General features: G+C 42.9%; 1 protein-coding gene across 1 annotated transcript in view, besides 2 other annotated features; it reads left to right on the top strand.

Moving 5' to 3' along the window:
- Positions 396 to 690: an enhancer, noted in NCBI's record as "tiled region #2566; K562 Activating DNase unmatched - State 12:CtcfO". NCBI's record gives its function as "activates a minimal TATA promoter and a strong SV40 promoter by Sharpr-MPRA in K562 cells {active_cell/tissue: K562}" and the evidence as "EXISTENCE:reporter gene assay evidence [ECO:0000049][PMID:27701403]".
- Positions 596 to 645: a silencer, noted in NCBI's record as "silent region_2114". NCBI's record gives its function as "represses an Ori minimal core promoter by ATAC-STARR-seq in GM12878 lymphoblastoid cells {active_cell/tissue: GM12878}" and the evidence as "EXISTENCE:reporter gene assay evidence [ECO:0000049][PMID:35858748]".
- Positions 16,466 to 27,411, top strand: part of ITIH2 (inter-alpha-trypsin inhibitor heavy chain 2) — a 46,205-nt gene continuing 35,259 nt past the window's right edge. The window contains exons 1-5 of the mRNA NM_002216.3: positions 16,466 to 16,668; positions 18,258 to 18,332; positions 20,351 to 20,383; positions 22,172 to 22,341; positions 26,331 to 26,435. Coding sequence (NP_002207.2) covers positions 16,585 to 16,668; positions 18,258 to 18,332; positions 20,351 to 20,383; positions 22,172 to 22,341; positions 26,331 to 26,435 — 467 coding nt within the window. The 5' untranslated portion in view covers positions 16,466 to 16,584. The remainder of the gene's footprint in view (positions 16,669 to 18,257; positions 18,333 to 20,350; positions 20,384 to 22,171; positions 22,342 to 26,330; positions 26,436 to 27,411) is intronic.

Consider the following 27,411-nt stretch of genomic DNA (forward strand, 5'->3'; position numbering starts at 1 on the left):
ACTCTTTACAATAACCCTATGAGATAGGTATGATTATTCCCGTTTTACGGACAAGGAAACTGATGCCCAGAGAGATGCAGCAATGTGCCCAAGGTCATAGCTAATAAATAATACAAACTCAGTCTGTCTGGCCTCAAAGACTGTACTCTTAACCACAGTGTACACTGTCTCACCTGCCGTACAGTGTAACAACGTGCACTGCCTGCAGAAATATTCGGTACATACCGATTGGTTGATTGGCTGCTTAGTTTCCTGTAATAAGTATCTACATCTTCTGTTTTGTAAGTGCCGTTTCTGAATAACACCTTATAAATGAATTACCCTTAAATATTCATTCTGTGTGCACATTTTGTATCAGAATCAATCTATAATAACAGTTACACGACTATGTTTTTGGAAAGGAAAAACTACTTCATTGCCTCTAGTGATATTGGGTGTGTATTTATTTAATACCACTGCAATAAAGCCCCCGTATTGTATTATTATTCTAGTACGACGTAGTCCTTTACATCCGCCGACTGCATATTTCATCAGCCCGCAGCGTGAGGCGCTGTTTTACCTTCAAGTTCCTGGTCCCTGGCTTAGCTCAAGTCACTTCCATCAGCTGGAAACAGGCGAGCACCTCACGCCATCTAGCGGAGACACACTTTGAAGACCGCTTCAAGGGATTTGCTTAATTATGGGAGTCTCATAGGGGCACCATCCAACAGCCACATGAAAGTAACAACAGACACTGAGTAAAACCAGAATGTTTCCCCCAATAAGTGGCTGCTCTAAAATTATTTTCCCAAACTCTCCCAGGTTGCTGCCCCTTGTTCCTGAGTCCACACAGCAGCTTCCTACGGAAAACACCCTCTGTGATTCTAGAAGAGCGCACTCTCCTCATCCATTGACCACAAAGACTTACTTTCTACACGATGTGAGGAAGGAAAACACCCTCTGTGATTCTAGAAGAGCGCACTCTCCTCATCCATTGACCACAAAGACTTACTTTCTACACGATGTGAGGAAGGGGCTCCCGGCAGAGTCAGGGTCACTGCCTGGTGCCTCCGGAGAGGCTGCAAGTTGTCATGGAAAGCACAAATGTCTGTGGGATCTAACAAAACTGAAGAGCTTCTGCACAGCAAAAGAAACTATCATCAGAGTGAACAGACAGCCTGCAGAATGGGAGAAAAATTTTGCAATCTATCCATCTGACAAATATCTAACATTCAACAACTACAAGGTACTTAAACAAATTTACAAGAAAAAAAACTCCATTAAAAAGTGGGCAAAGGACATGAACAGACACTTCTTAAAAAAAGACATACATGCGGTCAACAAACATATGAAAAAAGCTCAACATCACTGACGATTAGATAAATGCAAATCAAAACCACAATGAGATATCATCTCACACCAGTCAGAATGGCAATTATTAAAAAGTCAAAAAAACGGCAGGGCACAGTGGCTCACACCTTTAATCCTAGCATTTTGGGAGGCTTAGGCAGGAGGATCATTTGAGGTCAGGAGTTCGAGACCAGCCTGAGCAACATAGTGAAACCCACTCTCTACTAAAAATACAAAAATTAGTCGGGCCTGGTGGCACATGCCTGTAATCCCAGCTACTTGGGAGTCTGAGGCTGAGGCACTCCCAACTGGGTGACAGAGTTAGACTCTGTCTCAAAAAGAAAAAAAGAAAAAAACTCAAAAAAACGACAGATGCTGTTGAGGTTGTGGAGAAAAAGGAAAGCTTTTACACTGCTGGTGGGAGTGTAAATTAGTTCAACCACTGTAGAAGACAGTGTGACGATTCCTCAAAGACCTGGAGGCAGAAATACCATTTGACCCAGCAGTCCCATTACTTGGTATATACCCAAAGGAATATAAATAATTCTATTATAAAGAAACATGCACGTGTATGTTCATTGCAGCACTATTCACAATAGCAAAGACATGGAATCAACCTAAATACCCATCAATGATAGGCTAGATAAAGAAAGTATGGTACATATACACCATGGAATACTATGCAGCCATAAAAAGGAACAAAATCATGTCCTTTGCAGGGATGTGGATGGAACTGGAGGCCATTGTCCTCAGCAAACTAACGCAGGAACGGAAAACCAAATGCTGCATGTTCTCACTCATAAGTAGGAGCTGAATGATGAGAACACATGGACACATGGCCGGGAGAACAACACACACACGGGTCTGTTGGAGGGTGGGGGATGGGAGGAGGGAGCACATCAGGAAGAATAGCTAATGGATGCTGGGCTTAATACCTAGGTGATGGGATGATCTGTATAGTAAACCACTATGGCACATGTTTACTTACGTAACAAACCTGCACATCCTGCACATGTACCCCTGAACTTAAAATAAAAGTTGAAAAAAAAGAAAGTATAAATATGTGATGCATAGTGACCCTTCCTCAGCTAAAGCCACTCACCTTTGTTATCTATGCAAATGCTATTTGAATGTGCTAATCTGAGCTTGGCAGCAAGTTCAAGGGCCTCCCCAAGATTCTTGCAATTTCTGGGGCTTATTCTAATGGTCACTTTGACTTTCTTTCATGTTCAACTCCCAACCTCAGCACTCTCCTTCAGTGGCTGCTGTTATCCTATACCAAGATCTGGTTTCCTTCTACTTCCAGGCACAGGGAAGATTGCAATCCCCCACCCTCTTGAAATTAAGCATGGCCATGCGCCTTGTGGTGGCCAATGAACTACAAATGAAAACGCCATGCAACACTTCCAGGTAGAAGCATTCAACCCATGTGCTCCTCCATGTTTCCCTGCTCCCTGCCACATGCCTTGCCTCTTTCAGCCTGGGCCACTGGAGTGAGGGCCACACAGAGCAGAGCCCTTGGCCCAACAAAAATGGATAAGGAGTATGTCCAAGAAAAAGCAAGCTTTTGTTGTTTAAGCCACTGAGATTTGGGGATTGTTTGTTACCAGGACATAGCCTAGCCTATGCTGACTAATACACTTCCCAAAGTAATTCTCTCTGTGTGTGTCTTGCCTGCACAGATAGAGCCATGGAATATGACTCTCTTGTTTTTTAATTCTCCAAAATACTACTCACTAAAGACATCTTGGAATATAGGAAGCATTTTTTAATTAGGCATTATTCATTCTTGCTTTTAAAGATTTTTTTGCCCACCATTCTCATTGCCAAAACAACCCTTCCACACTCCTTTTGTCTCTTCTACCCTCAACTCCTACAGCACACAAAACATTTTAGCAATTCCTTTGTCTTTTTGTCTCCTCTTGAACCAATTGTTCTCAACTGTGTCAGATCTAATGTCCTGTTTTTTATAATAAATATTTTGACACTACCTCTGCTACCCCAAAAATAAAATTAATAGATAATGTACCTTATCTAGACACATGATTTTAAAAATTGAATATAAATTTTTAATTGTAATATAAAGGAGGACATGTCCATAATAAAATATGATTTTTAATAGTCACATACTTGGGCATAACCACAGGAGAAGACATTATGAAGGAGTCGGATGGTTACCAACAAATACGGATCACCATGCCTGCAACACTACAAATTCAGACTAACAGAGATATGGGGTATGGGTTACTCATGTACCCTAAGAGCAACAGTGGCAACTGTGATGTTACTTTTTTCAAGTGGTGAACATTTCTTGATTCAAAGTACAATTAACCTTGATTTACTCAGTCTTTGCATTCCCTCAAAATTCAATGTATATGCTATAGATTGCATGTTTGTGTCTTCCCAAAATTCCCATGTTGAAACCTTACTCCCAGTGGAATGATACTAGATGGGGTTTTGGAAAGGTGATTATGTTTAGGTGAGTTCAGGAGGATTAAATCCTCATGATGGGATTACTGTAATCCCAGCACCTTGGGAGGCTGAGGCAGGCAGATCACGAGGTCAGGAGATCGAGACCATCCCGGCTAACACAGTGAAACCCCATCTCCACTAAAAATACAAAAAAATTAGCCGAGCTTGGTGACAGGCACCTGTAGTCCCAGCTACTCGGGAGGCTGAAGCAGGAGAATGGCATGAACCCGGGAGGCGGAGCTTCCTGTGAGCAGAGATTGCACCATTGCACTCCAGCCTGGGTGACAGAGCAAGACTCCATCTCAAAAAAAAAAAGAAGAAGAAAAAGAAAAAGACACTAGCTCTTGCTTTCTCCACCATGTGAGGATGCAACCAGCAGGCAGCCATCTGCAAGCTGGGAAGGGAGCCCCCACCAGATCCCAGATCTGCCAGCACTTTGATCTTGGACTTCCCAGCCTCCAGAGCTGTGAGCAATAAATGTTTGTTGTTTAAACCACTCAGTTTGTGGTATTTTTGTTATAGCAGCCCACCCTAAGATAGTATATTAAAACATTTCAAAAATATTATGTGAAACAGAATTAGGTTATAGGACCAAAGAATTTTTAACCTGCCTTTCACTTACACTTACACAATATCTGGCAAGGCACTTGTATTAGTCTGTTTTCACACTGCTGATAAAGACATACATGAGACTGGGCAATTTGCTAAAGAAAGAGGTTTAATTGGGTTTACAGTTTCATGTGGCTGGGAAAGCCCCACAATCATGGTGAAAAGGAAGGAGGAGCAAGTCACATCTTACGTGGATGGTGGCAGGCAAAAGACGAGAGCAATTGTGCAGGGAAATTCCCCTTTTTAAAACCATCAGATCTCATGAGACTTATTCACTATCACAAGAACAGCATGGGAAGGACCTGCCCCCATGATTCAATTACCTCCCACTAGGTTCCTCCCACAACACATAGGAATTCAAGATGAGATTTGGGTGGGGACACAGAGCCAAACCATATCATTCCACCCCTGGCCTCTCCCAAATCTCATATCTTCACATTTCAATACCAATCATGCCTTCCCAGCAGTCCCCCAAAGTCTCAACTCACTTCTGCATCAACTCAAAAGTCCACAGTCCAAAGTCCCATCTGGGACAAGGCAAGTACCGCCTGCCTATGAGCCTGTAAAATCAAAAGCAAGTTAGTTATTTCCTAGATACAATGCAGGTATATGCATTGAGTAAATATAGCCATTCCAAATGGGAGAAATTAGCCAAACAAAGGCACTACAGGCCCCATGCAAATCCAAAATCCAGCAATGCAGTCAAATCTTAAAGTTCCAAAATGATCTCCTTTGACTCCATGTCATGCATCTGAGTAACGTTTATGCAAGAGGTGGGTTCCCATGGCCTTGGGCAGCTCCATCCCCGTGGCTTTGCAGGGTACAGCCACCCTCCCAGCTGCTTTCATGGGCTGGTGTTGAGTGTCTGCGGCTTTTCCAGGCACACAGTGCAAGCTGTAGGTGGGTCTACCATTCTAGGGTCTGGAGGACTGTGGCCCTCTTCTCAACAGCTCCACTAGGTGGATACCCAGTAGGCACCTCCCATCCCACATTTCCCTGTCTTATTGCCCTTGCAGAGGTTCTCCACAAGGACAACACACCTACAGCAAACTTCTGCCTGGGCATCCGGGCATTTCCACACATCTTCTGAAATCTAGAGGGAGGTTCCCAAACATCAATTCTTGACTTCTGTGCACTTGCAGGCTCAACACTATGTGGAAGCTGCCAAGGCTTGGGGCTTGCACCCTCTGAAGCCATGGCCTAAGCTCTAGATTAGCCCCTTTCAGCCACAGCTGGAGTGGCTGGGACACAGAGCACCAAGTCCCTAGGCTGCACACAGCATGGGGACCCTGGGCCTGGCCCACAAAACCATTTTTTCCTCTTAGGCCTCTAGGCCTGTGATGGAAGAGGCTGCTGTGAAGACCTCTGACCTGCCCTGGAAACATTTTCCACATTGTCTTGGGGATTAACATTAGGCTTCTTGTTACTTATGCAAATTTCTGCAGCCAGCTTGAATTTTTCCCCAGAAAGTGGAATTTCCTTTTCTATTGCATTGTCAGACTGCAAATTTTCCAGACTTTTATGCTCTACTTCCCTTATAAAACTTAATGCTTTTAACAGCATCCAAGTCACCTCTTGAATGCTTTGCTGCTTAGAAATTTCTTCTGCCAGATAGCCTAAATCATCTCTCTCAAGTTCAAAGTTCCACAAATCTCTAGGGCAGGGGCAAAATGCCACCAGTCTTTTTGCTAAAATATAGCAAGAGTCACTTTTGCTCAAGTTCCCAACAACTTCCTCATTTCCATCTGAGACCACCTCAACCTGGGCTTTATTGTCCATATAGCTACAGCATTTTGGTTGAAAGCCATTCAACAAGTCTCTAGAAAGTTCCAAACTTTCCCACATTTTCCTGTCTTCTTCTGAGCCCCTCAAACTCTTCCAACCTCTGCCTGTTACCCAGTTTCAAAGTCACTTCTACTTTTTCGGGTATCTTTTCAGCAGCATACCACTTCTGGTACCAATTTGCTGTATTAGTCCATTTTCATGCTGCTGATAAAGATATACCAGACTGAGACTGAGCAATTTACAAAAGAAAGAGGTTTAATTGGACTTACAGTTTCATGTAGCTGGAAGCCTCACAATCATGGTGGAAGACAAGGAGGAGCAAGTCACATCTTACATGGATGGCAGCAGGCAAGAAATGAGCTTGTGAAGGGAAACTTCCCTTTTTAAAACCATCAGATAGTGTGAGACTTACTCACTATCATGAGGACAGCACAGGAAAGATCTGCCCCCATCATTCAATTACCTCCCACTGGGTTCCTCCCACAACAGGTGGGAATTCAAGATGAGATGTGGGTGGGGACACAGCCAAGCCACATCAGCACTCATATGTTTTGTGTTACTAAAGACAATTCTTTATTTTTAAGTCTTGTCCTGTGCATAGCAGGACATTTAGCATTCTTGACTTCACTCACCAAATGCTATCAGTCTTTCAATCATCATAGCAACCAAAAAAATAACCCCATAAATTTCCCAAATGAACCCTGGTGGAAGTTCACCTCATGGTTCTAAAATATTCCAAAGTGGAACTCATCTTTTATCACAAATCAAGGGTGTATGTGTGTTTATTTTTACTTTTGTATTTATACATGCACACACACACTCACATGCACAGGTTAAGTTCTCACTTTGTGTTATGGTGCTGTAAACATCATCATTGAGGCAGATGTTGTGCAAACTAATTTTAATCAACAGGATAAATTACAATTATAAACTGATCTTTAAATCGTTTTCAAAATATTAAAAGCTTTGTTCCTGTCAGTTATAAATGCATAGAAAATTTTTTAAATGATAAAACTATTTAAAAAACCATATATTAAAATATTAAGAATTAAAGTACTTTATATATTTGTTTAAAAACTTATTCATAGTAGTTTGAGAAGGGCTCATTTTCTTCTCGTTGTACAATTTTGGATCCTAAGTGAGCAACTTGTTTATGCCTCAAGAAATTGTCCTACCCCTTTCTAAGTTTGAATCCACTTCCAGTGTGTGTGTGTGTGTGTGTGTGTGTGTGTGTGTGTGTGTGTTTTCAGTGGTCAAATATCTTCAGAACTTTTTTACAATGTGTTTTTTGCTGGTGTTCTTTGGCTTGCTTTCTCCAAGACATCATACTTTTCATCACAACCACTTTCGTTATTTCTGTCAGTAAATTCACCTTCTCAAAGTCTCTCTGGCTGCACACCTAGAGTCTTGAAGTGGGGGCAGGGTAGGGGCAATGTCAACCTTCCCCTGGTCAGCTATTTCTTCTATAACTACATTTATGATCAAACTCAAATTTTACTCCCAGCATTGTCAGTTTTCTTAGGGACTTTCATTTTTATTAGCCATTCTCTCTTTCAGTTATCCATTTTTGTAAAGTGTCACATGAGTTTATCACTGGGAGATAAGGAAGAAGCACAAGTACATACTTTGCTGTCTGTGCATGAACCCAAGAACAGATGTGCAGTGACCAAGACTGGGAAAAGAATGAGAAGCTGTGAGGCCATTGGTCACCAATCATGCTTCTATGCAAATAGCAGATGCATCATCGGCATCTGCTATTCACACAGTGATTTTTGGATGAGAGGGCTGGTAGCCAAGTGTGTGCTCTGTGCAATTCCTCACATGGACATGCTACAGTAATTGAAACTTAAACCATGTTGTTGGTGGACTAGTGTCATTTAACTAAATCGTAGTAACGTAAATCCATGCATGGCAAACAAGGACTGCTGCGATATAATATTCTATATACAGAATTGGATTTTCTGGAGAGATGATATACCCCTTCCTTAAAGACAAAAGCAGCTTCAATCAGTTGTGATTTCAAGCATGATATTTTTTTCTTGTCTATATAGACACAGAGTAATACTCAAGAAATAGGAGCCCACTGTGCAGATAAATTGACAACCTAGTTTGTTTTTTGTTTTTTTTTTTTTTGAGACAGAATCTTGCTCTGTCGTCCAGGCTGGAGTGCAGTGGCACCACCTTGGCTCACTGCAAGCTCCGCCTCCCAGGTTCACGCCATTCTCCTGCCTCAGCCTCCTGAGTAGCTGGGACTACAGGTGCCCGCCATCATGCCTGGCTAATTTTTTGTATTTTTAGTAGAGATGGGGTTTCACCGTGTTAGCCAGGATGGTCTCAATCTCCTGACCTCATGATCCACCCACCTTGGCCTCCCAAAGTGCTGGGATTACAGGCTTGAGCCACCGCACCCGGCCAACAACCTAGTTTCTATCTAGAAGAAACAAATTATGGTAAGTTTGTTTATATAGATCAGGTCCTATATAAAAAATAATGCCATACATGTTTTAAAGGGCCAATTTTTTTTGTTTTTCTTATTGCTATAACTTAAAGAATACCCTAGAACCACACTGACTCAAAATTCTTCTCTTGTTGGTCTGCATTTTATGCTGCCTTCTTTTCAAAGTTTATCTCAAATGGACTCTCCAAATAAAGGAAGAAGAAACCTAAACAAGAGGAGAGAGGTGCTCTGAGGCAAGACGGTAATGGGAGGAAGGCTTTTTCTAGCTTTCTGTTGAATTATGGAAACTTCACAGTCCCTAGAATTCATCTTTCAATAGCCTCCATCTCCAATGCAAGAATCCCTTCATTCCCTTCCTAAAATCTGGTCTTACAGCCTCTGTTTAGACACTTCAATAGCAGAAACACTAATAATAATAATATTATTAATAGCTATTTAATGGGAATTTGTTCTGTTCCAGTTATTATAAAGATCTTTACATGTGTCATTTCTCATCATCTTTAATAACATAATATTTGTTAGATGATGATTTTCATTTTTGACTCAGAATCTCTAAAACCCCATTTCCTTATGCCATTTCCATGCCCCACTTTCCTTGTAGTGGATTAAAGATGGTCCCAAATTCCTTGCCATTCTTCTAATCAGAGGTGGGGTTTATTGCCTGCCCCTCCCCTTGAATCATGGCTGTCCTTGAGACTCGATTTGCCCAACAGAAGTGCAACAGTGTAATTTCCAAATGATGGGCCTTGCAAGATAGACAACTTCATTTCTGCACACTGAGAATGCCCCTTCTTGAACCTCAGCCATGTGGGGAGAAGGCTAGGTCATGTGGGGAGGCCATGCAGAGGAGAACCGAGGTGCTCTGGTCAGCAGCCCCAGCTGTGCTCCCTGTCAACAGCACCAATGGCCAGCCATGTGAACTGAGTTGGATGTTATTCCCTAGCCGAACCTCTGCTGACCATGGGCCCAGCCAACAGACCATGCAGCAGAAGAACCATCCATCTGAAACTAGTCAACCCACAGACTCAGGAGAGAGATTAAACTGTTGCTTTGAAACACTAAGTTGTGCAGCAGTCAATAATTGAAGCATTCTAGAGGCAATAACCCTCTAGAAATACAGTGATTAAGCCCAGCTTCACAGGGCAGTTTGGCCCAACTGACTACCAGGAGAAGCTTGTCCTGGCCCAATGAATCCTGCCTCACTGCACCTCAAAGGAATGTGCTGGCAGGTGCCCAGCACTCATGGGGTGAGTTCCAGAACGGCCAGAATGGCCTGGCTTCACTCACTTGAACGCCCTCTGCCACAGCCTTGTTTGCACAGTGTGGACCTCACGCATTCTTCTGCCACATAGACTGGCACATTCTTCAAACTTCTGATTTCTTTTCCCAGATTCTGACTTTATTCCTTAATTCCAGCCTGAAGTCTCCATAGAAAAATAACCCCGTAACGAACCTCCTCAGGCCTCGCACGTGGATCATTGCCATACTTACCTCACCTTCTCATTTTTCTTGAACTGTGTATTAATAGCATATTCTTGTGCAACAGTTTTGAATCTCTATCCTGACCCACCTTCAATGGTTTAATTTAGTAAAATCTTTTATATAATATTCCACTCAGAATTGAATGTGATGTTTTAGGTATGGTCTACACTGGAGAATGCACTGAGACTTTTCTGTAGCACTTCTAGAATTTATATTCAGCATACCTTCTTTTTCACCATTCATGTTTATTTCAAGCATATTTCATTTGAACCACTTTAGTGAATTCTAGGGCCCTGTTTCTTACCACTAAATTAATTTCTTCAAGTTAACATCATTGTAGTCATCAATGCTTTTCTGGTTGGATTTGTTCAAACAACTGGTTCTATAATTAACCAGATAAAAATTCATTCCATTTTCATTTCCTACCTCATCCATGATAAACACATTACAGTCGATCTATGCTTATCGAATCTGGATCTGCCAGTTTAGAAACAGCACAGCAAAGAGGAGTAAAATTAGCTCAACTTAATGTTCAACCAAGCACTGTGTCACCACCAATTCTTCAGGCAGTAAATGGCCCCTTGCCATTTGCAAGCTCTAAAATCCAAGGGAAGAATCTGGCTATGACATATGGGAAGTGTTTATGGGTTATGTGTGTGTTACCAGCTCCTGGGGCTGCTGACAAGTTAGTCTCCCTCTCAATGTCTGACGAGGACTGGGCCCATGTCTCGGGCTTGGACTCAATATCTGACGAGGACTGGGCCCATGTCTCGGGCTTGGACTCAAGCCCGATATCTGCTATGCCTGAAGACGTGGTTCCTGTTGCCTCCTGAGACCCTTATGAAGGCCTTGGCAGCATGGAGTGACTCATGCCTGTAATCCCAGCACTTTGGGAAGCCTGTGCAGGAGGATCTGTTAAGTCCAGAAGTTTGAGACAAGCCTGGGCAACATAATGAGACCCAGTATCTACAAAAAAAACAAGAGGGTCTTAACACCATCTTCTCTGCCTAGCTTTATTTCCAGACTCTGCCCCCTTTGCCCCCACCTCCTGGACTGTCTTTCCTCTGTCCTCATTGGTGTGAGGACCCTCCCACTGCACACCTATTCTCAGTGCCCAGTGAGCTTCCACTTTGTCCCCATCCCATAGCTAGTGAGCCTCAGTCGTCAAACCCCTCCCATACACACGTGTCAAATTTCTTCCTTTTCAAAAGTTTTCTCAAACCATCTTTTTAATCACTGCATGTCATTTTTTAAATCAAGTCTACTATAAGCTCGCCAATCTATATTTACAGAAATCTAGATTTTTTCCTTTTTGAAAACTGAAGTAATCTAATAGTCATCATTTACAAGCATTTTCAATTCAGAACTTCTTTCTGTGCCCTGCCGTGTAATTAGTCTGGGAAACAATTCATTTAAATGACTTCAGGCCGGGCGTGGTGGCTCACGCCTGTAATCCTAGCACCTTGGGAGGCCGGGGCGTGTGGATCACCTGAGGTCAGGGGTTCAAGACCAGCCTGGCCAACACGGTGAAACCCCATCTCTACTAAAAATACAAAAATTAGCTGGGCATGGCAGAGTGCACCTGTAATCTCAGGTACTCGGGAGGCTGAGGCGAGGAGAATTGCTTGAACCCATGAGGCAGAGGCTGCAGTGAGCTGACATGGCACCACTGCACTCTAGCCTAGGCAACAGAGCAAGACTCCATCTAAAAAAATAAAAATAAATATGTAGAGACCAGGTCTTGCTATATTGCCCAGGTCTCAAATTCCTGGCCTCAAGTGATCCTCCCGACTTGACCTCCCAAAGTGTTGGGATTACAGGTGTGAGCCACTGTGCTGACCTGTTTTAACACTACTACTAGTAACTAGCACTTAGTTAGCACCTAATGTGTTCCAGGAACTGCTCTAAGTCCTTCATACATACTCATAGGTGAGTATTATTTGTTATTCCCATTTTTCAGATGAGGACGTTGAGGCATACAGAGATTTGCCAAAAGTCATGAACCCAGCTCGTTAGTCAAAGAGGCAGGCCAGGGAAGGGGTTGATGACGACGCTGCCGACTCACACTGTTCAGTCCATTTTCCATCGTTACCGCCAACCTCGGCCCTGTATCTTGACCCTACTCCACTTCTCTAGCCACAGCCTGGCATGGTACTTAATGTGGAGAAAGTCTGTTTTCTATACGTATTTGAGCTGTGATACCTTCCTTCTGATTGTAAAGATATTTTCTTATAGCTTCTTCAAGGATTGTCTATTTGAATTTCCAAAGATGACATTCAATTACTCTGCTACATCTTTTCCCCTCTCTTGGCCACATGACTTAACCACTCTGAGCCTCACTTTCATCATCTTTTAAATTAGAGGATCCAGCTAGATAACCTCTAACATCCCTGGTGGCTCAGATATCCAAACACACTCTTCGCCCTGTTTACACCTTGGAGGGAGCCACAATTACTCATATGAAGGTGCTTCCCAGCCTGTACCTGAAATACCAGCACCAGATCTTAGTGTGATCGTGAGACCACTTCCAGATGAGACCCCTTCCTCGCCAGAAAACACCCAGACACCCTGGGAGGAACAGCAAAAGCTGCTACACTGGAATTGACCTATCGTGGCTGGTCACATGTCTACTCTACTCTCGATTTCTCTACTCTGGCAATGGATTTGAATTTGAACTTCAGAGGTAAGGAACACAGAATAGGAAAGAACTGAAATGGCTCAACAGCAAAGCCACGTTTCCATGGCTTAAGAACCAATGAGAGAATCCGTTCCATGCTCTCTAACTTCCCATTTTTGGCTTGTGATACTGCTATTCAGTTTCAAATATTTTTCTTTTGAAACATCTTTATGTTCTGGCCTCAAATGATACAAACCCACACCTGGCCAGGCACAGTGGCTCACATGTAATCCCAACACTTTGGGAGGCCAACATGGGTGGATTACTTGAGTCCAGGAGTTCAAGACCAGCCTGGGCAACATGGTGAAACCTCACATCTACAAAATATACGCTCACACAAAAATCAGCTGGGTGTGGTGGTGTGCACCTGTAGTTTCAGCTACTCAGGAGGCTGAGATGGGAGGATTGCTTGAGCCCAGGAGGTTGAGGCTGCAGTAAGCCATGATTGCATCACTGCACTCCAGCCTGGGTGATAGAGTGAGACCCTGTCTCCATTAAAAAACTAAAACAGGCTGGGCGCGGTGGCTCAAGCCTGTAATCCCAGCACTTTGGGAGGCTGAGGCGGGTGGACCACGAGGTCAGGAGATCGAAACCATCCTGGCTAACATGGTGAAACCCCGTCTCTACTAAAAATACAAAAAATTATTCAGGCGTGGTGGCAGGCACCTGTAGTCCCAGCTGCTCGGGAAGCTGAGGCAGGAGAATGGCGTGAACCCGGGAGGCGGAGCTTGCAGTGAGCCAAGATTGTGCCACTGCACTCCAGCCTGGGCAAGAGAGAGACTCCATCTAAAAAAAAAAAAAAAAACAGAACCAAAAAAAACACACCTCTGCATTACAGAGGACAAAAAAATGTAGCAGAGTAATCAAATATCATCTTTGGAAATTCAAACAGACAATCCTTGAAGAAGATGTAACAAAATGTCTTCACAATCAGAGGAAGCCATCACAGCTCAACTATGTGTAGAAAACAGACCTGCTCCATGTTATGTGCAACCTGACCCACCAAACAAGCAGGTCAGGGTCAAATATAGCTATTTTTCTGGTGAATTCATCCAGCTTTGACTTTGGACTTTTACAAACATGCTCTTTCACAATGACAGGGCTGGAGCTGAATGCTATAAATGTGAGGCAGCTATTGTTATACTGTCAGCTAAACCACAATGACTTACACTCAGTGATGAATCTCAAGTTTGTTGATATTTCCCAGAGTTCCCAATGAGTACTAAATGTTATCTCTTTGTTCAAACATTATGAAATATTGTGATTTTTTTTCTTGTAGATTTCCTACTGATTTTCACATACGTGAAAGTGAATATTCTTGTGGCATTTATGGTAGTGATTTCCATCCTAGAAATCAGTGGATATATTCAATTCACCACGTCACAGCTGCCCAGGCATGATGGGAGGGGTTGGCAGTGGGGTGGGGAGTGCAAGGGGAAAGGGTCTCAGGTTCAAGACTCAGTAGCCTGAATACACAGCCTACGCGGTCGTGCTTCTGAACATTGAGAGAGAGAGCAAATGTTGTTTTGTTTTGTTTTGTTTTCAAGAATTTGGGATCAGGCTGAGCACAGTGGCTCACGCCTATAATCCCAACACTTTGGGAGGCTGAGGCAGGTGGATTACTCGAGGTCAGGAGTTTGAGACCAGCCTGACCAATATGGTGAAACCCCATCTTTACTTTAAAAAAAATAATACAAAGTTAGTTGTGGTGGTGCACGCCCGTAATTCCAGCTACTTGGGAGGTTCAGGCAGGGGAATCGCGTGAACCTGGGAGGTGGAGGTTGCAGTAAGCCAAGATCATGCCATTGCGCTTGAGTCTGAGCCACAGAGTGACGCTCCCTCTCAAAAAAAAAAAAAAAAAAGGACTTTGGGATCTGAAGACAGAGTATCAGCATGGAAAAAAGTCCAGCCTGCTTTTGGTTTGGTTTATTCTGAGATAATTCTGAATATCAGATTAAAATAATCAGAAAGGAAATGATCAATGGAAGGAGGTATGATTTTGAAAGTCACTGCTGTTTTTGGGAGAACATGCCATTGGGTTTTTTATTATTTATTTATTTTTTTCTTTTGAGACCAAGTCTTGCCCTGTTGCCCAGGTGGAATGCAGTGGCGTGATCTCAGCTCACTCTAACCTCCGCCTCCCCAGTTCAAGCAATTCTCATGCCTCAGCCTCCCAAGTAGCTGGGATTACAGGCGCATGCCACCACACCTGGCTAATTTTTGTATTTTTAGTAGAGACGGGGTTGCACTATGTTGGCCAGGCTGGTCTCAAACTCCTGACCTCAGGTCATCCACCCGCCTCAGTCTCCCAAAGTGCTGGGATTACAAGTGTGAGCCACCGCGCCCAGCTGCCATTGGGTCTTAATTCTCCAGAAACAGTATCTCAGTCAAGAATGCAAAGCTGTGGCAGGATTTTTCCATGAGGGGTCCACTGAGGCACTCACTGGCCAAGGTGGGCGCTCAACTAGTCCAACCTAGGCAAGGGAGGGGAGAATCTGTTTTCTCCCTTCCATTATTTCAGAAGTTATGTTTCTCCAGCAGACACACGGCTGTGCAATTTCGAAGACTGAGGGGAAACTAGGGAGGAAAATGCAGAAAACTCTCTGTTGCATGCCCTGTGAATTGGGCTTTAAATGTAGCAAGGAGCTCCAGGATCCCAGAAGTTGGCCTGGGGTGCTTGGTCCTGAGGATAAGACAACCTCCCTTGTATTGTAATTCTGCCCACAGCTGGAGCTTCCTATTTCAGTGTTGCATCCAAGAAGTTACATTTCCTGTTTGTTGCAAGAAAAATAGAATCTGACCAGGATGGAGGCTAGGCATGGGGGCTCACATCTGGAATCCCAGCAGTTTCGGAGGCTGAGGCAAGCAGATAGCTTGAGCCCAGGTGTTCAAGACCAGGATGAGCAACATGATGAAATCCCATCTCTACAAAAAATAGCCAGGCAGTGTAGTGCACACCTGTAGTCCAGCTACTCTGGAGGCTGAGGTGGGCAGATTGCTTGAGCCGGGGGAAGTTGAGGCTGCAATGAGCTTTGATCTCACCACTGCACTCCAATTCTGAGACTGGGGAGTATTGATTTGCCACTGACCTGAGCCCGGCTGATAGGGGCAGCAGGACAGACACTGTTACCTTAATCAAAGACATTCACGAAGCATTCTCACTGAAGATCTGCCCTAGTATCCTGCACAGCCACTTGCCTGGGTCTTTATAGGTAACAGGTAGACAGTCATCAAAGAGATAGGGGAAAACATGCACAATGAATTCTTTGCTCAGAAAAACCCTTCTGTGTCTTCTCCCACTTTTTCTAAATTTTTCCTGCTTTCATTTAGATCAAAGGATTTTGTTTCTTGGAATAGTTCTGCACTTGGTCCTTTAGAAAGGATGACAATTATCTGTAGGTCTCTCTGATTTTAAGATCAATAGAAATCAGCAAAAGCCAAAAAATAAAAAATAAAAATAAAATAAAAGCACACAAGCACATTCAAGCACATCCATCTGCCCCTGACTTGTCCTCACAGTAAGCAACTGCTTCTGACTTTGCTGTTTGAATAACCTCTGGGTGTTCGATCCACCCACACAGCTCAAGTTTGAGCTCCAGAACAAATATTTGTCCCAATTTTGAACAAAGTTAGAGAGTTTTTTCTTCTTTTTTCTTCTTTCTTAAAGCGAACTGTACTCCTCTGCTGTTCCTTTGAACTTGGTTCAGTAGGAAGAAGTGATATCCTCCCCAGACCATCTGCTTTGGGGAGCTTGGCAAAACTGTCCAGCAAAATGAAAAGACTCACGTGCTTTTTCATCTGCTTCTTTCTTTCTGAAGTATCAGGCTTCGAAATCCCCATAAATGGACTTTCTGAAGTAAGTACTTACAGATCACTCCTTGCTGTTGGCTTGTTCATGAGCTCAGTAAATCATCTATTGGAATCGCTATTCAATGGCCTTATTCTGTGTGTAATGGAAACTTAAGATAAAATTCATCTGAGTGCAAGTGTTTACTGTTATAATTACTGGAATGTATATTTACCTTTTAAAGCATTAACAGGTTTTGCATGAAAATTAAGTCAAGATCAATGGGCAGGCATCAGAGCGTAGCATTTATGGAGCAGAGCTGCTCACTCCTCACCTAAAAAATTGGGGGTAAGAATAGACCTAACCCAATGGTTTGCTTTGAGAATTAAATGACACAGTGTAAACTCTTCTAGCAGAGCGCCTGGACTAGTAAGTGCTTAATAATTACTAGCTGTTATGATGATGAAGAAATATTATCACTCTTTTACTAAGAGTATAAGAAAAGTCATTATCAAAGCACACTGTTTTTCATATCTAAGTGAACAGTGATATTTGTAATAAGAGCACTTTAAGTATTCCTATTAAAGCGGAAGATAGCAGGCAGGGTGGAAAAGTACAAGAATAATTCCCATGGAGTACAGGTCTCCACTTTTGTCCCTTAGCCATCTCCAATGTAAGGAAAGTCTTGGACTGAAAGTCTGTTTCTGAAAGTCATACAAGAGCTATTTTTATGCCAGAAAAGCGAAGCATGTTATGGGAACATCCCAGCAAATGCAAAGGCTTATAATACTTGCAGAGTGGATTACCTATAAAAATGCCAGAGAATATGACGGCATATTTACAAAGGGAAAATATCACTCTGTCTGCTTTGAAACTATCATATTTTCCAACACTTAAAAGCCACCAGAGTGTGTTAGAAATCTCAAATTGAAGCCAAGACATCCAAATGTGTTTGTGCTTTTTCAGTCATTTCTAACTGGCATTTCCTTTTAGAAAATACCTACATTTTTAACTTGGGGAGATGTATGGTTCATGTCTGTCCAGTCAGACACTGCAAATGCCTCCAGGGTCTACCCAGATACTTCCCCAGACACCCACCTAATCACTGGGTTGTTTTGATCTCTGTCTTACCACCTGCTGGCAAACTCAAAAATGAATTCCCATGTCCAACAAATGCGAAGGTGTTGTTACCCTCCATTTGGACACCTCTGAGACGTAACCAGCAAATAGAAATATACTAAAGAAATCATTTTATACAAAATTGTGATTGCCCAGAGGTAGAGGAAAGAATATAAAATAATGAATACCAACAGCTATCTCTTTGGCTCTAGATCTTTTGGAAATCATCATTCTCAGCAAAGTAACACAAGAAGGGAAAACCCAACACCGCATGTTCTCACTCATAAGTGGGAGTCGAACAACGAGAACACATGGACACAGGAAGGGGAACATCACACACTGGGGCCTGTCAGGGGGTGGGGGGCTAGGGGAGGGATAGCATTAGGAGAAATACCTGACGTAAATGATGAGTTAATGGGTGTAGCAAACCAACATGGCACATGTATACCTATGTAACAAATCTGCACGTTGTGCACATGTACCCCAGAACTTACAGTATAATTAAAAAAAAAAAAGTTAAAATCCTAATTTTTTTTAAGTTTGTAGACTATGAAGATCTTGTGGAACTGGCCCCAGGCAAATTTCAATTGGTGGCAGAGAACCGGAGATATCAGGTATAGTAAGGTTTACTCCCAAAAGGGGGAAAAAAAGTGAAAGAGATTATGGCAGAAGAAGACAAGTGTTAAGATGCCTTCTGCTAGATTTTCTTAAGAGTTTGTTTTTTAGCACAGAAGAGTCCAGACTTCTTACACCTTGGTGGAAGAGATCACCCAGGTGAAATAAAAAGAGAAACTCACACAACTGCTCAGCAGCCTTCACACCATAATGCTCAATTTAGTCCCTTAAAGAGTACACGACTCAGCACAGTGGCTCCCACTTATAATCACAGCATTTTCAGAGGCCAAGGAGGGAGGATCACTTGAGGCCAGGAGTTCCAGATCAGCCTGGGTAACATAGTGAGGCTCTACCTCTGCCACCCAGCTAATATATATATTAGCTGGCATGCACCTGTAATCCCAGCTATTTGAGAAGCTGAGATGGAGGATCACTTGAACCCAAGAGTTCGAGGCTGCAGTGAGCTATGATTGCACCAGCCTGGGCAACAGAGGGAGACGCTGTCCCCACTCCATTTAAAAAAAAAAAAAAAAAAAAGAATACATGGCTATGTGTTTTCTTCAAAACTTAAGATTCCGAAATTATTTCCTGCCTTGCCGGAAGGATTTCCTGTTAGGAAGACTTTTCTTATTTTAGCGATGACAGACACTCCCCCTTGCAGCCTCACAATCTCCTTCCTCTGGTCACTCTGAGGGCACCTGAGAAGGAGAATTGGCCACATTGGAAGTTGCAATCCTGGCGGCCACCAGCAGCAGTATAGACAAAACCCTCTAATTAAGGGGGTGAGTTTTCCAGAACACCAGGAAGGGCTTGGCTTCTTCCCCACGGAGCCCACATGCTGAGAGAGGAGGTATTTACGGAAGCAGCAACCCTAAGCTGATCAATGTCTTATTTTGTATGGGTGTGAATTTTTTACTTTCTGAAAATCCAGGATTTTTTTTTGTAGACTAATAATATTAAAATCCAATAAGCAAGACTTCATGTCACAATTTATTTAGCCACAAGAGAGAAAAATTTGTCATTGAGCATTGCATTCAAGAAGTCTACAAGAAGAGGTCAACCATTGACCTCACCATGTCACACAGCACAGAACCTCAGTTCACCCCGAATCAGGCAAGCTGAGCTTATATCCAACACCCGACTTCTTGGATCTATTATTAACAGCTCACCAAACATTACATGTTCACCCACCACCCTTAAGCCATTCACTTTCAAAGGCAAGGGAATCGCCTTTGTTCATTTCCTCAGGACAGTCAAGTGTATGGATAATCTCCTAGCATGGTGGTTAAAAGCATAGAATTTTCTAGGTGCCAGTCACTGTGTTTGCCTCAGGGGTTACACTGTGGAGGAAATACATGAAAATCCCTGCTTTTATGTAGCTTAGTTTAAAGGAAGAGACAGACTTTAGTCAAATAATCCCTCAAATAGAATGAATCATTATGAAACAAGGTGAGCACTCTGCAGGAAGGAATATGCTGCTGCAAAAACACTTAGTAAAGGAAACCGACCTAGTCTTGGGGTGTTAGAGATTTTCACTGGAGGAATTCTGCTGGAGCTGAGATCTGAAGGGTGAGTAGGAGTTCTCCATATGGGGGTTGAGGAACCTAGCAGGGGCACTGCAAACAGTGGGAACAGCATGCCCACAGCCTCATGGCCGAATGGAGGATCAAAGTCTCCATTCAACTGAGTAAAAAATAGAGCAAATAGCATCAAGGGGATATACGCTACCCAGGATGCATTTGGTTGAATATTTTTATTTAAAAATTACTTGTTCTAGCATTATATCCAAGAATGACACACACGCCACCAGAACTGGTTGAGAAACTTATTGAGAAACTCACCAGTGGGAAAATAGTTTTCAAGAATATTCAATATTTATGTCTCAACTCCAGTGAATGAATAACAGCTCAGTATTGAAGAAAAATAAAATTTCTTTTTTGACTGAGAAAACGGTTTTGGCTCTCAAGGTAATAAGTGACATACAGTTGAAGAATGATTGTCTAACTTCCTTTCACAGAGAAGCCTTCCAGGAGAATCGGAAGAAATGATGGTAAGTTGACTTGATGTTGTTACAGATTGAATGATTTTCCTGTTAATAATTACCAGGAAATCAATCTGGGTGTCTCTTTTTTCTTCATCACCGAGTATTTACCTGACTTTCGAAATACTGCCTTGCCCAACTGTTTGCAAGTGTTTCTAAAATTCAGCATTGAAGAGTGCAGTCTTTACAGACAGGAGAGAGGCCACCAAGAGCTGAAGGGGCCCTTCTCTTCATTTTCTTGAGTTTTGCCATATATCATAGGTTCCTTCCCACTGTATAAATTTATGTATTTATTCCTACTCAACCTTTTTGATTTATGTATTTATTTTTACGTTTTCATTTTTATTTTTATTTTTTTGAGACAGAGTTTCACTTTTGTTGCCCAGGCTGGAGTGCAATGGCATGATCTCAGCTCACTGCAACCTCTGCCCCCTGGGTTCAAGAGATTCTCTGCCTCAGCCTCTCAAGTAGCTGGGATTACAGGCATATGTCTCCTCGCCCAGCTAATTTTTGTGTTTTTAGTAGAGATGGGGTTTCACCATGTTGGCCAGGCTGGTCTCGAACTCCTGACCTCGGGTGATCCACCTCCCTCAGCCTCCCAAAGTGCTGGGATTACAGGCATGAGCCATTGCTTCCAGCACCATTTTGATTTAAAGTATGACACCTGACAGCTTTGGAAAATAAAAGAGTGCCCGTGGAAAGGAACTTTTAAACACAAAACGGCCCAGTTCCCTGAGATGTTCAGAGTAGACCATCCTGTGGCAAGAAAACAGCCTGAGGACAAGTGGCTTATGTTGTGCTTCCTGCCCTGAATTGGCAGAAACTGCCAGAAGTGCACACTTCAGGGGGAGGAAGGACACATAGATTAGCCTGGATTTTATTTTAGCTTGAGGTGAGTTGCATGGTTAATTAGTCGAAAGGTTTAATGTTGGACTACAAAGTTTGGGGAATGAGACCTGGTATTGAGATAAGTAAATTCTTTTGGAGAAAAAAGCAAAATCTAATGGGTCTCATAGTTGTCCATAGACCTGAAGGAGCTTGCAGCTCTCAGTCACCTCCTGAAAGGTGTGGGTTTCTAGGACCTTGCCTTTGAGCACACTTACATATGTGATTCTTCACACAGGAGCTGCTTTAAATCAGTAGTGATCGGGTAAGGAGGTCCAGAGTGTTGGACCAATACTTGCATCAGAATGCCCTGTCCAAGATCAATGTCTCTTGCTTACACCCGTCACTGTTCTCCTAGCTTGTTTTGACTTGGGGGAGGAGAAAAGGACTGCAGATGAAATTGTAATAGAGGAGATTAAAGAAGGTAGAGAGCTGTAAGGGGGGGTTGGTGGAGGCCATATGTGTGTTTCCACCCCACAGCACCCCTGTGTGACCCCTACTAAAGATACAACCAAGTTCCTCTTTCAACCTCGCAATCCAGTATCCTCTCCCCAGCTGATGGTCTTGCATTTGGAGTTATTACCTGGACTTCCTCAATCCAATCTGGCTTCCCACACCGTTTTCTACTTGTATTCTAATTTTTGAAAAATCATTATTTATAGACTCATAGGGCTGAAAAATGCCTTTTAGCTCAAAGTATCTTGAAACCAAGGCAGACTTCTGCTCATTGCGGGTTCCAAGAAGTTAGGAGAATGCTTAACCATACATGAATTCTGTCCTTACCAAGGCCCTGGAATTGTTCTGCTAGTAAAACAAGTAAAATGTAGTGTTGTTAACATCAAATGCACTACATTTGATGAAGTTCTGTGTGATTTTTCTATCAGTACAGTTATGCTTTCTTGCCAATTTCAGGAAGAGGTTGATCAAGTAACTCTTTATAGCTATAAAGTCCAGTCTACTATTACTTCTCGGATGGCCACCACCATGATCCAGAGCAAAGTGGTGAACAATTCCCCGCAGCCTCAGAATGTCGTGTTTGATGTTCAGATCCCCAAAGGAGCATTCATTTCCAACTTCTCCATGTGAGTAACTTCTGTGTAGAGCCAGAAATTGTAGGTGCTCTACTCACAGAATCAAAACCCCTCATAGTTAGAATGGACTTTAGTGGTCAACTGTCCCAGAGGACCGGCTGGATGTCAAGGGTCATTGTGAGGTTGGTCCCAATAATTTTCTCCTCTTCAAAGCGTTAGAACTTGTGAATTATTTGCTTTTTGTTTCTAATAAGCTAAAGCAAACTTAAGGCTATCTCTGTGGTAACAACCTCATACTTACTTGCATTTTAATATACTTTCTAGGGAGGAGAAAAATATACTGGGTTGCCCTGGCTTATAGGAAACCACATAAGAGCGTGTGCACAGCAGGTCAATGCCATCTGCCATATGTTTCTCTATGGGAAAAAAAAAACAAGTTGAGAACCACAGATTAAATCTAATTACTTATCCAGTGCTTGACCTCCTCTATAACACCGCTGACAAGTGTGTGATGATTTCCTTGATGATAAACTCACTTTTCCCAAGGCAATCAACTCAGTGATTGACAGCTCTGTTAAGAGTCCTTTCTTATACTTCAAATATTTTCCACTTTCTACCCAATGACTCTAGTGATAATCACATAGAATTTTTAAAAAGCTCTCTACAAAATACATATTGAAGTGTTCATAGATGAAATGATGTGCCATCTGAGCTTGGCTTCTTTTTTTTTTGAGATGGAGTCTCGCTCTGTCGCCCAGGCTGGAGTGCAGTGGCGTGATCTCGGCTCACTGCAAGCTCCGCCTCCCGGGTTCACACCATTCTCCTGCCTCAGCCTCCTGAGTAGCTGGGACTACAGGCACCCGCCACCATGCCTGGCTAATTTTCGTATTTTTAGTAGAGACGGAGTTTCACCGTGTTAGCCAGGATGGTCTCGATCTCTTGACCTCGTGATCTGCCCGCCTCGGCCTCCCAAAGTGTTGGGATTACAGGCGTGAGCCACCGTGCCTGGCCTTGAACTTGGCTTCTTAACAACTAAGGTGGAAAGCATGAGAGTACAGACAAATTAAGATTGGCTGAGTATTCATAATGGTGTAGCTCAGTGATGGTTTCATGGACATCTCATATTATTCCCTCTATTTTCTGTGTGTTTGAAATTTTTCGTAATAAAAGAAGGTTAAACTACTCCAATACTTTCCAAACAGTTAATACCAGTTATCCACTTGGAGCCTTCATGTATCAAAGTTAAATATTCTCTGTTCCTCTAAGTGATTGGAATGATTTCTATGTCCAAATATCAAGGTGGCCAACCCAGAGTATGTTCCAGGTGGTCAATGTCCCTCTTAAGTTGCCAAGAACACAGCAAAGTACTGTGCATAAAGTCTGGCTATTTTTTTTTTATGAAGACATTAGGTTGAATTACTTCTCATCCACTTTTGTCTTTCATACACCAAGGTAATCAGTGATCATTGTGGATAAATAGTAAAGGGTTCAACCACCATGTACTTTGGCTGCCGAAAGTGGCAGTCATGTGAACTCTAACCAAATAGGCAGAAAAAGGCATTGTGTCACTTTAATTGGTATCCTTTGAATTGGCTTTAAAATGTATCACTTTTTTTGTCTGCCTTTTCTAAAAAGCAAAGGGAGAAGGAAAGGCTTTTCTGTACTGGTATTATATGACCCCATGTCTAGAAATGACATTGAAAACTATTTTAATAAATTCCTATTTTTAAACCACACAATCAGAATTTACTCAAAAGATCTCTTATTTCTGTTTTCCTTCTTTTTTTTTTTTCTTTTTTACTTTAAGTTCTGGGATACGTGTGCAGAATGTATAGGTTTGTTACATAGGTACACATGTGCCATGGTGGTTTGCTGCACCTATCATCCCATCATCTAGGTTTTAAGCCCCACATGCGTTAGCTGTTTGTCCTAATGCTCTCCCTCCCCTTGCCCCCTACCGCCCGACAGGACACGGTGTGTAATATTCCCCTCCCTGTGTCCATGTGTTCTCATTGTTCAACTCCCACTTATGAGTGAGAACATACAGTGTTTGATTTTCTGTTCCTGTGTTAGTTTGCTGAGGAAGATGGCTTACAGCTTCAACCATGTCCCTGCAAAGGACATGATCTTATTCCTTTTTATGGCTGCATACTATTCCGTCCTTCATTCTGTTCTTTCTTTACTATCTCATTACATAGAAGATTTGAAGTACAAAGGACAGAATCGTGAAACATGCATTTACTTTTATCTCCCTCTGCTCTGAGCTGAATCTATAAGACCAGAGAAGATACCTGCTTAATTATCACAACTTAAAATGAGCTGTGTAGACCTATGTACTAGCCAAAATATCCCTTTTACCTTTTTATCAAGATCTTGAATATTCTATGGGAGATGATTTCCTTTGTCCTAAAGACCCCTTGGCCTTTGAGACTTAGTTCTGATTCGATAGAAGCATGATGGCCTTGACCAGCAGTGTGACCTTGGCAAGAGTCACCTGTCTCCTGGGGTCTGATGTCTCTCATCTAAAGGGGCAAACCCACAAGTGTGCCTCAACACACGTGCTGTTGGCATTTGGGGCAGGAAAATTCTTCAGTGGAGCTGTCCCTCATATTGCAGGATGACTAACATTCGTGGTGTCCTCCCACAAATGCCAGCAGCACTTCCAAGTCATCTCAACAACCCAAACTTCACACATTTCCAAATTGCTCCTTGGGAAAGACACTGCCCATTTGAGTACTGGAAGTTCCCATGTACTTCCAAAATTCTGGATTCTACCACTCTGACCAACCATTACTTGGTAAGGATTAGGTGCTAGCCAGCTAAAGGTAAGGTGTATAGAGATGAGATGCAAATAGAAGACAGAGGTCCCCAAGGGAGATGGTTTCCAGATAAACACCACCTTGGCAGGGGACCCACCAGCACCTTCCCCCTTTTTCTTTATTCTTTTCCACCCTTGCAGAGGAGCATAATATTCTGTCTTCATCAGCTCCGGCTGCTATGACTAAGTACCATAAAATGGGTAGATTATAAACAACAGAAATTTAAAATTCATAGTTCTGAAGGCCGGGAAGTCCGAGATCAAGATGCCCAAGGATTTCGTGTCTGGTGAGGGCCCATTTCCTGGTTCAGTCAAGATGGAAAGAGATGAGAGAGCTCTTCGAAGTCTGTTTTTTATGACAGCACTAAATGCTATTCATGAGGAGAGAGCCCTCTCCAAGGCCCCACCTCGTAATGTCATCGTCCTAGGAAGTAAGGTTCAACATGCACATTTGCGGGGAACATAAACATTCGGTCCATTGCATACCCCACAGCGATGCCAAATTCTTAGCTCACAGAATGACCTGATGAACCAGTAATGAGATAATTCGGAATTTATCAGTCACCTCCCCTAATCACATTTGTCATTCAAAGGGGATACCCAAAGAGAACCATCCTTAATCTAAAGGATGAAATTCAAAGATGAGGAAAAATCTATAAACAAACAACAGTACATGAGGGAAAGGTTTTAGGATGGGAGCCTACCAAACCCCTCTCAAGCCACACTATCCAATCAATAAAGGAAGTCCTGTCCATAAACTATTTGAATGCCTCCCTTCTTATTTCTTATAGACACAAAATGATCATTGCCCTCATTCATTAAATTAGCCTTGTTGGGTTGTTTGCTCGCTCTTGTTTGTTTTGCTAAGATTACTATTCTGGGCCAGGCGCGGTGGCTCACACCTGTAATCCCAGCACTTTGGGAGGCCAAGCCAGGTGGATCATGAGGTCAGGAGATCGAGACCATCCTGGCCAACATGGCGAAACCCAATCTCTACTAAAAATACAAAAAATTAGCCTGGCCTGGTGGCAGACGCCTATAATCCCAGCTACTCAGGGGGCTGAAGCAGGAGAATTGCTTGAACCCAGGAGGTGGAGGTTGCACTGAACTGAGATTGCACCATTGCACTCCAGCCTGGGTGACAGAGCAAGACTCCATCTCGAGGGGAAAAAAAAAAAAGATTACTATTCTGACCAACTGGTTACCTTCTGTCATTTTCTAGGACTGTGGACGGCAAGACATTTAGGAGCTCTATTAAGGAGAAAACTGTGGGCCGAGCTCTTTATGCACAGGCCAGAGCAAAAGGCAAGACGGCTGGCTTGGTGAGGTAAGGCCTGAGTGAGCAAGGCTTGCCCTTGCCTCTCAATGACGGTTTCCTCTCCTACTTCCTTCCCACAGCAGCAAAGCAGCCTCTGGAAAGGCACAGCACCTGAGCCAATGGCAACCTCCTCAGAGCCAGATGTTAGAATTAGGCACTGCAGTTTCTATTCGCCTAAAGGTCCCTCTTCAACCAATGGGTTTTGGGTGATCCCACGCTGGTTGTGCTTACATCACTGTCTTGCAGGTAGATGGATGTTCTGTAAATAAACACTGCTTTTTCTAAAGAGTGAAGAGAGAAACTACAGAAATATTGGTGATCTTGTGATCTTGTTACGAAACTTAACATATAAGCAGAAGGAAAAGTTTGAAATTTGCCTTAATGATTTATTCTGACTACTTGTAGGGATAAGGGGTTTTTTTTAATTGTAGTTGTTGTTGTTGTTGTTTGAGATGAGGTCTTAATTTTTTGCCCAGGCTGGAATGCAGTGGTTTGATCACGGCTCACTACAACCTCGAACTCCTGGCCCCAAGCGGGAATGCCTCAGCCTCCCAAGTAGCTGGGACTTGGGGTGCACCACCATGCCTGACGAATTTTTTTAGTTTTTGTAGAGATAAGGCCTTGCTTTGTTGTCTAGGCTGGCCTCAAGCGATCCTCCCATGTCAGCCTCCCAAAGTACTGGGATTACGGGCTGAAACCACCATGCTGGGCTGCGATAGGGTCTTCTTAAGCATCAGTTACTTCACTTAGGCTTTGTTTATTTTTTCCCCTTATAATCTAAGTAAGACCTGGGAATGCCAAGCCACCCTCAAAAAGTAGCTTCTCTTCAAAGGGAAAAAATCTTCAAAGGGATGTTCACCTTCTCACTCCTTGCACTGCACACTCACTATTTTTTTTTTTTTTTTTTTTTTTTGAGACGGAATCTCGCTCTGTCGCCCAGGCTGGAGTGCAGTGGTGCGATCTCGGCTCACTGCAAGCTCCGCCC

The sequence above is a fragment of the Homo sapiens genome, chromosome 10, assembly GCF_000001405.40.
Source record: "Homo sapiens chromosome 10, GRCh38.p14 Primary Assembly".
Classification (NCBI taxonomy): Eukaryota; Metazoa; Chordata; class Mammalia; order Primates; family Hominidae; genus Homo; species Homo sapiens.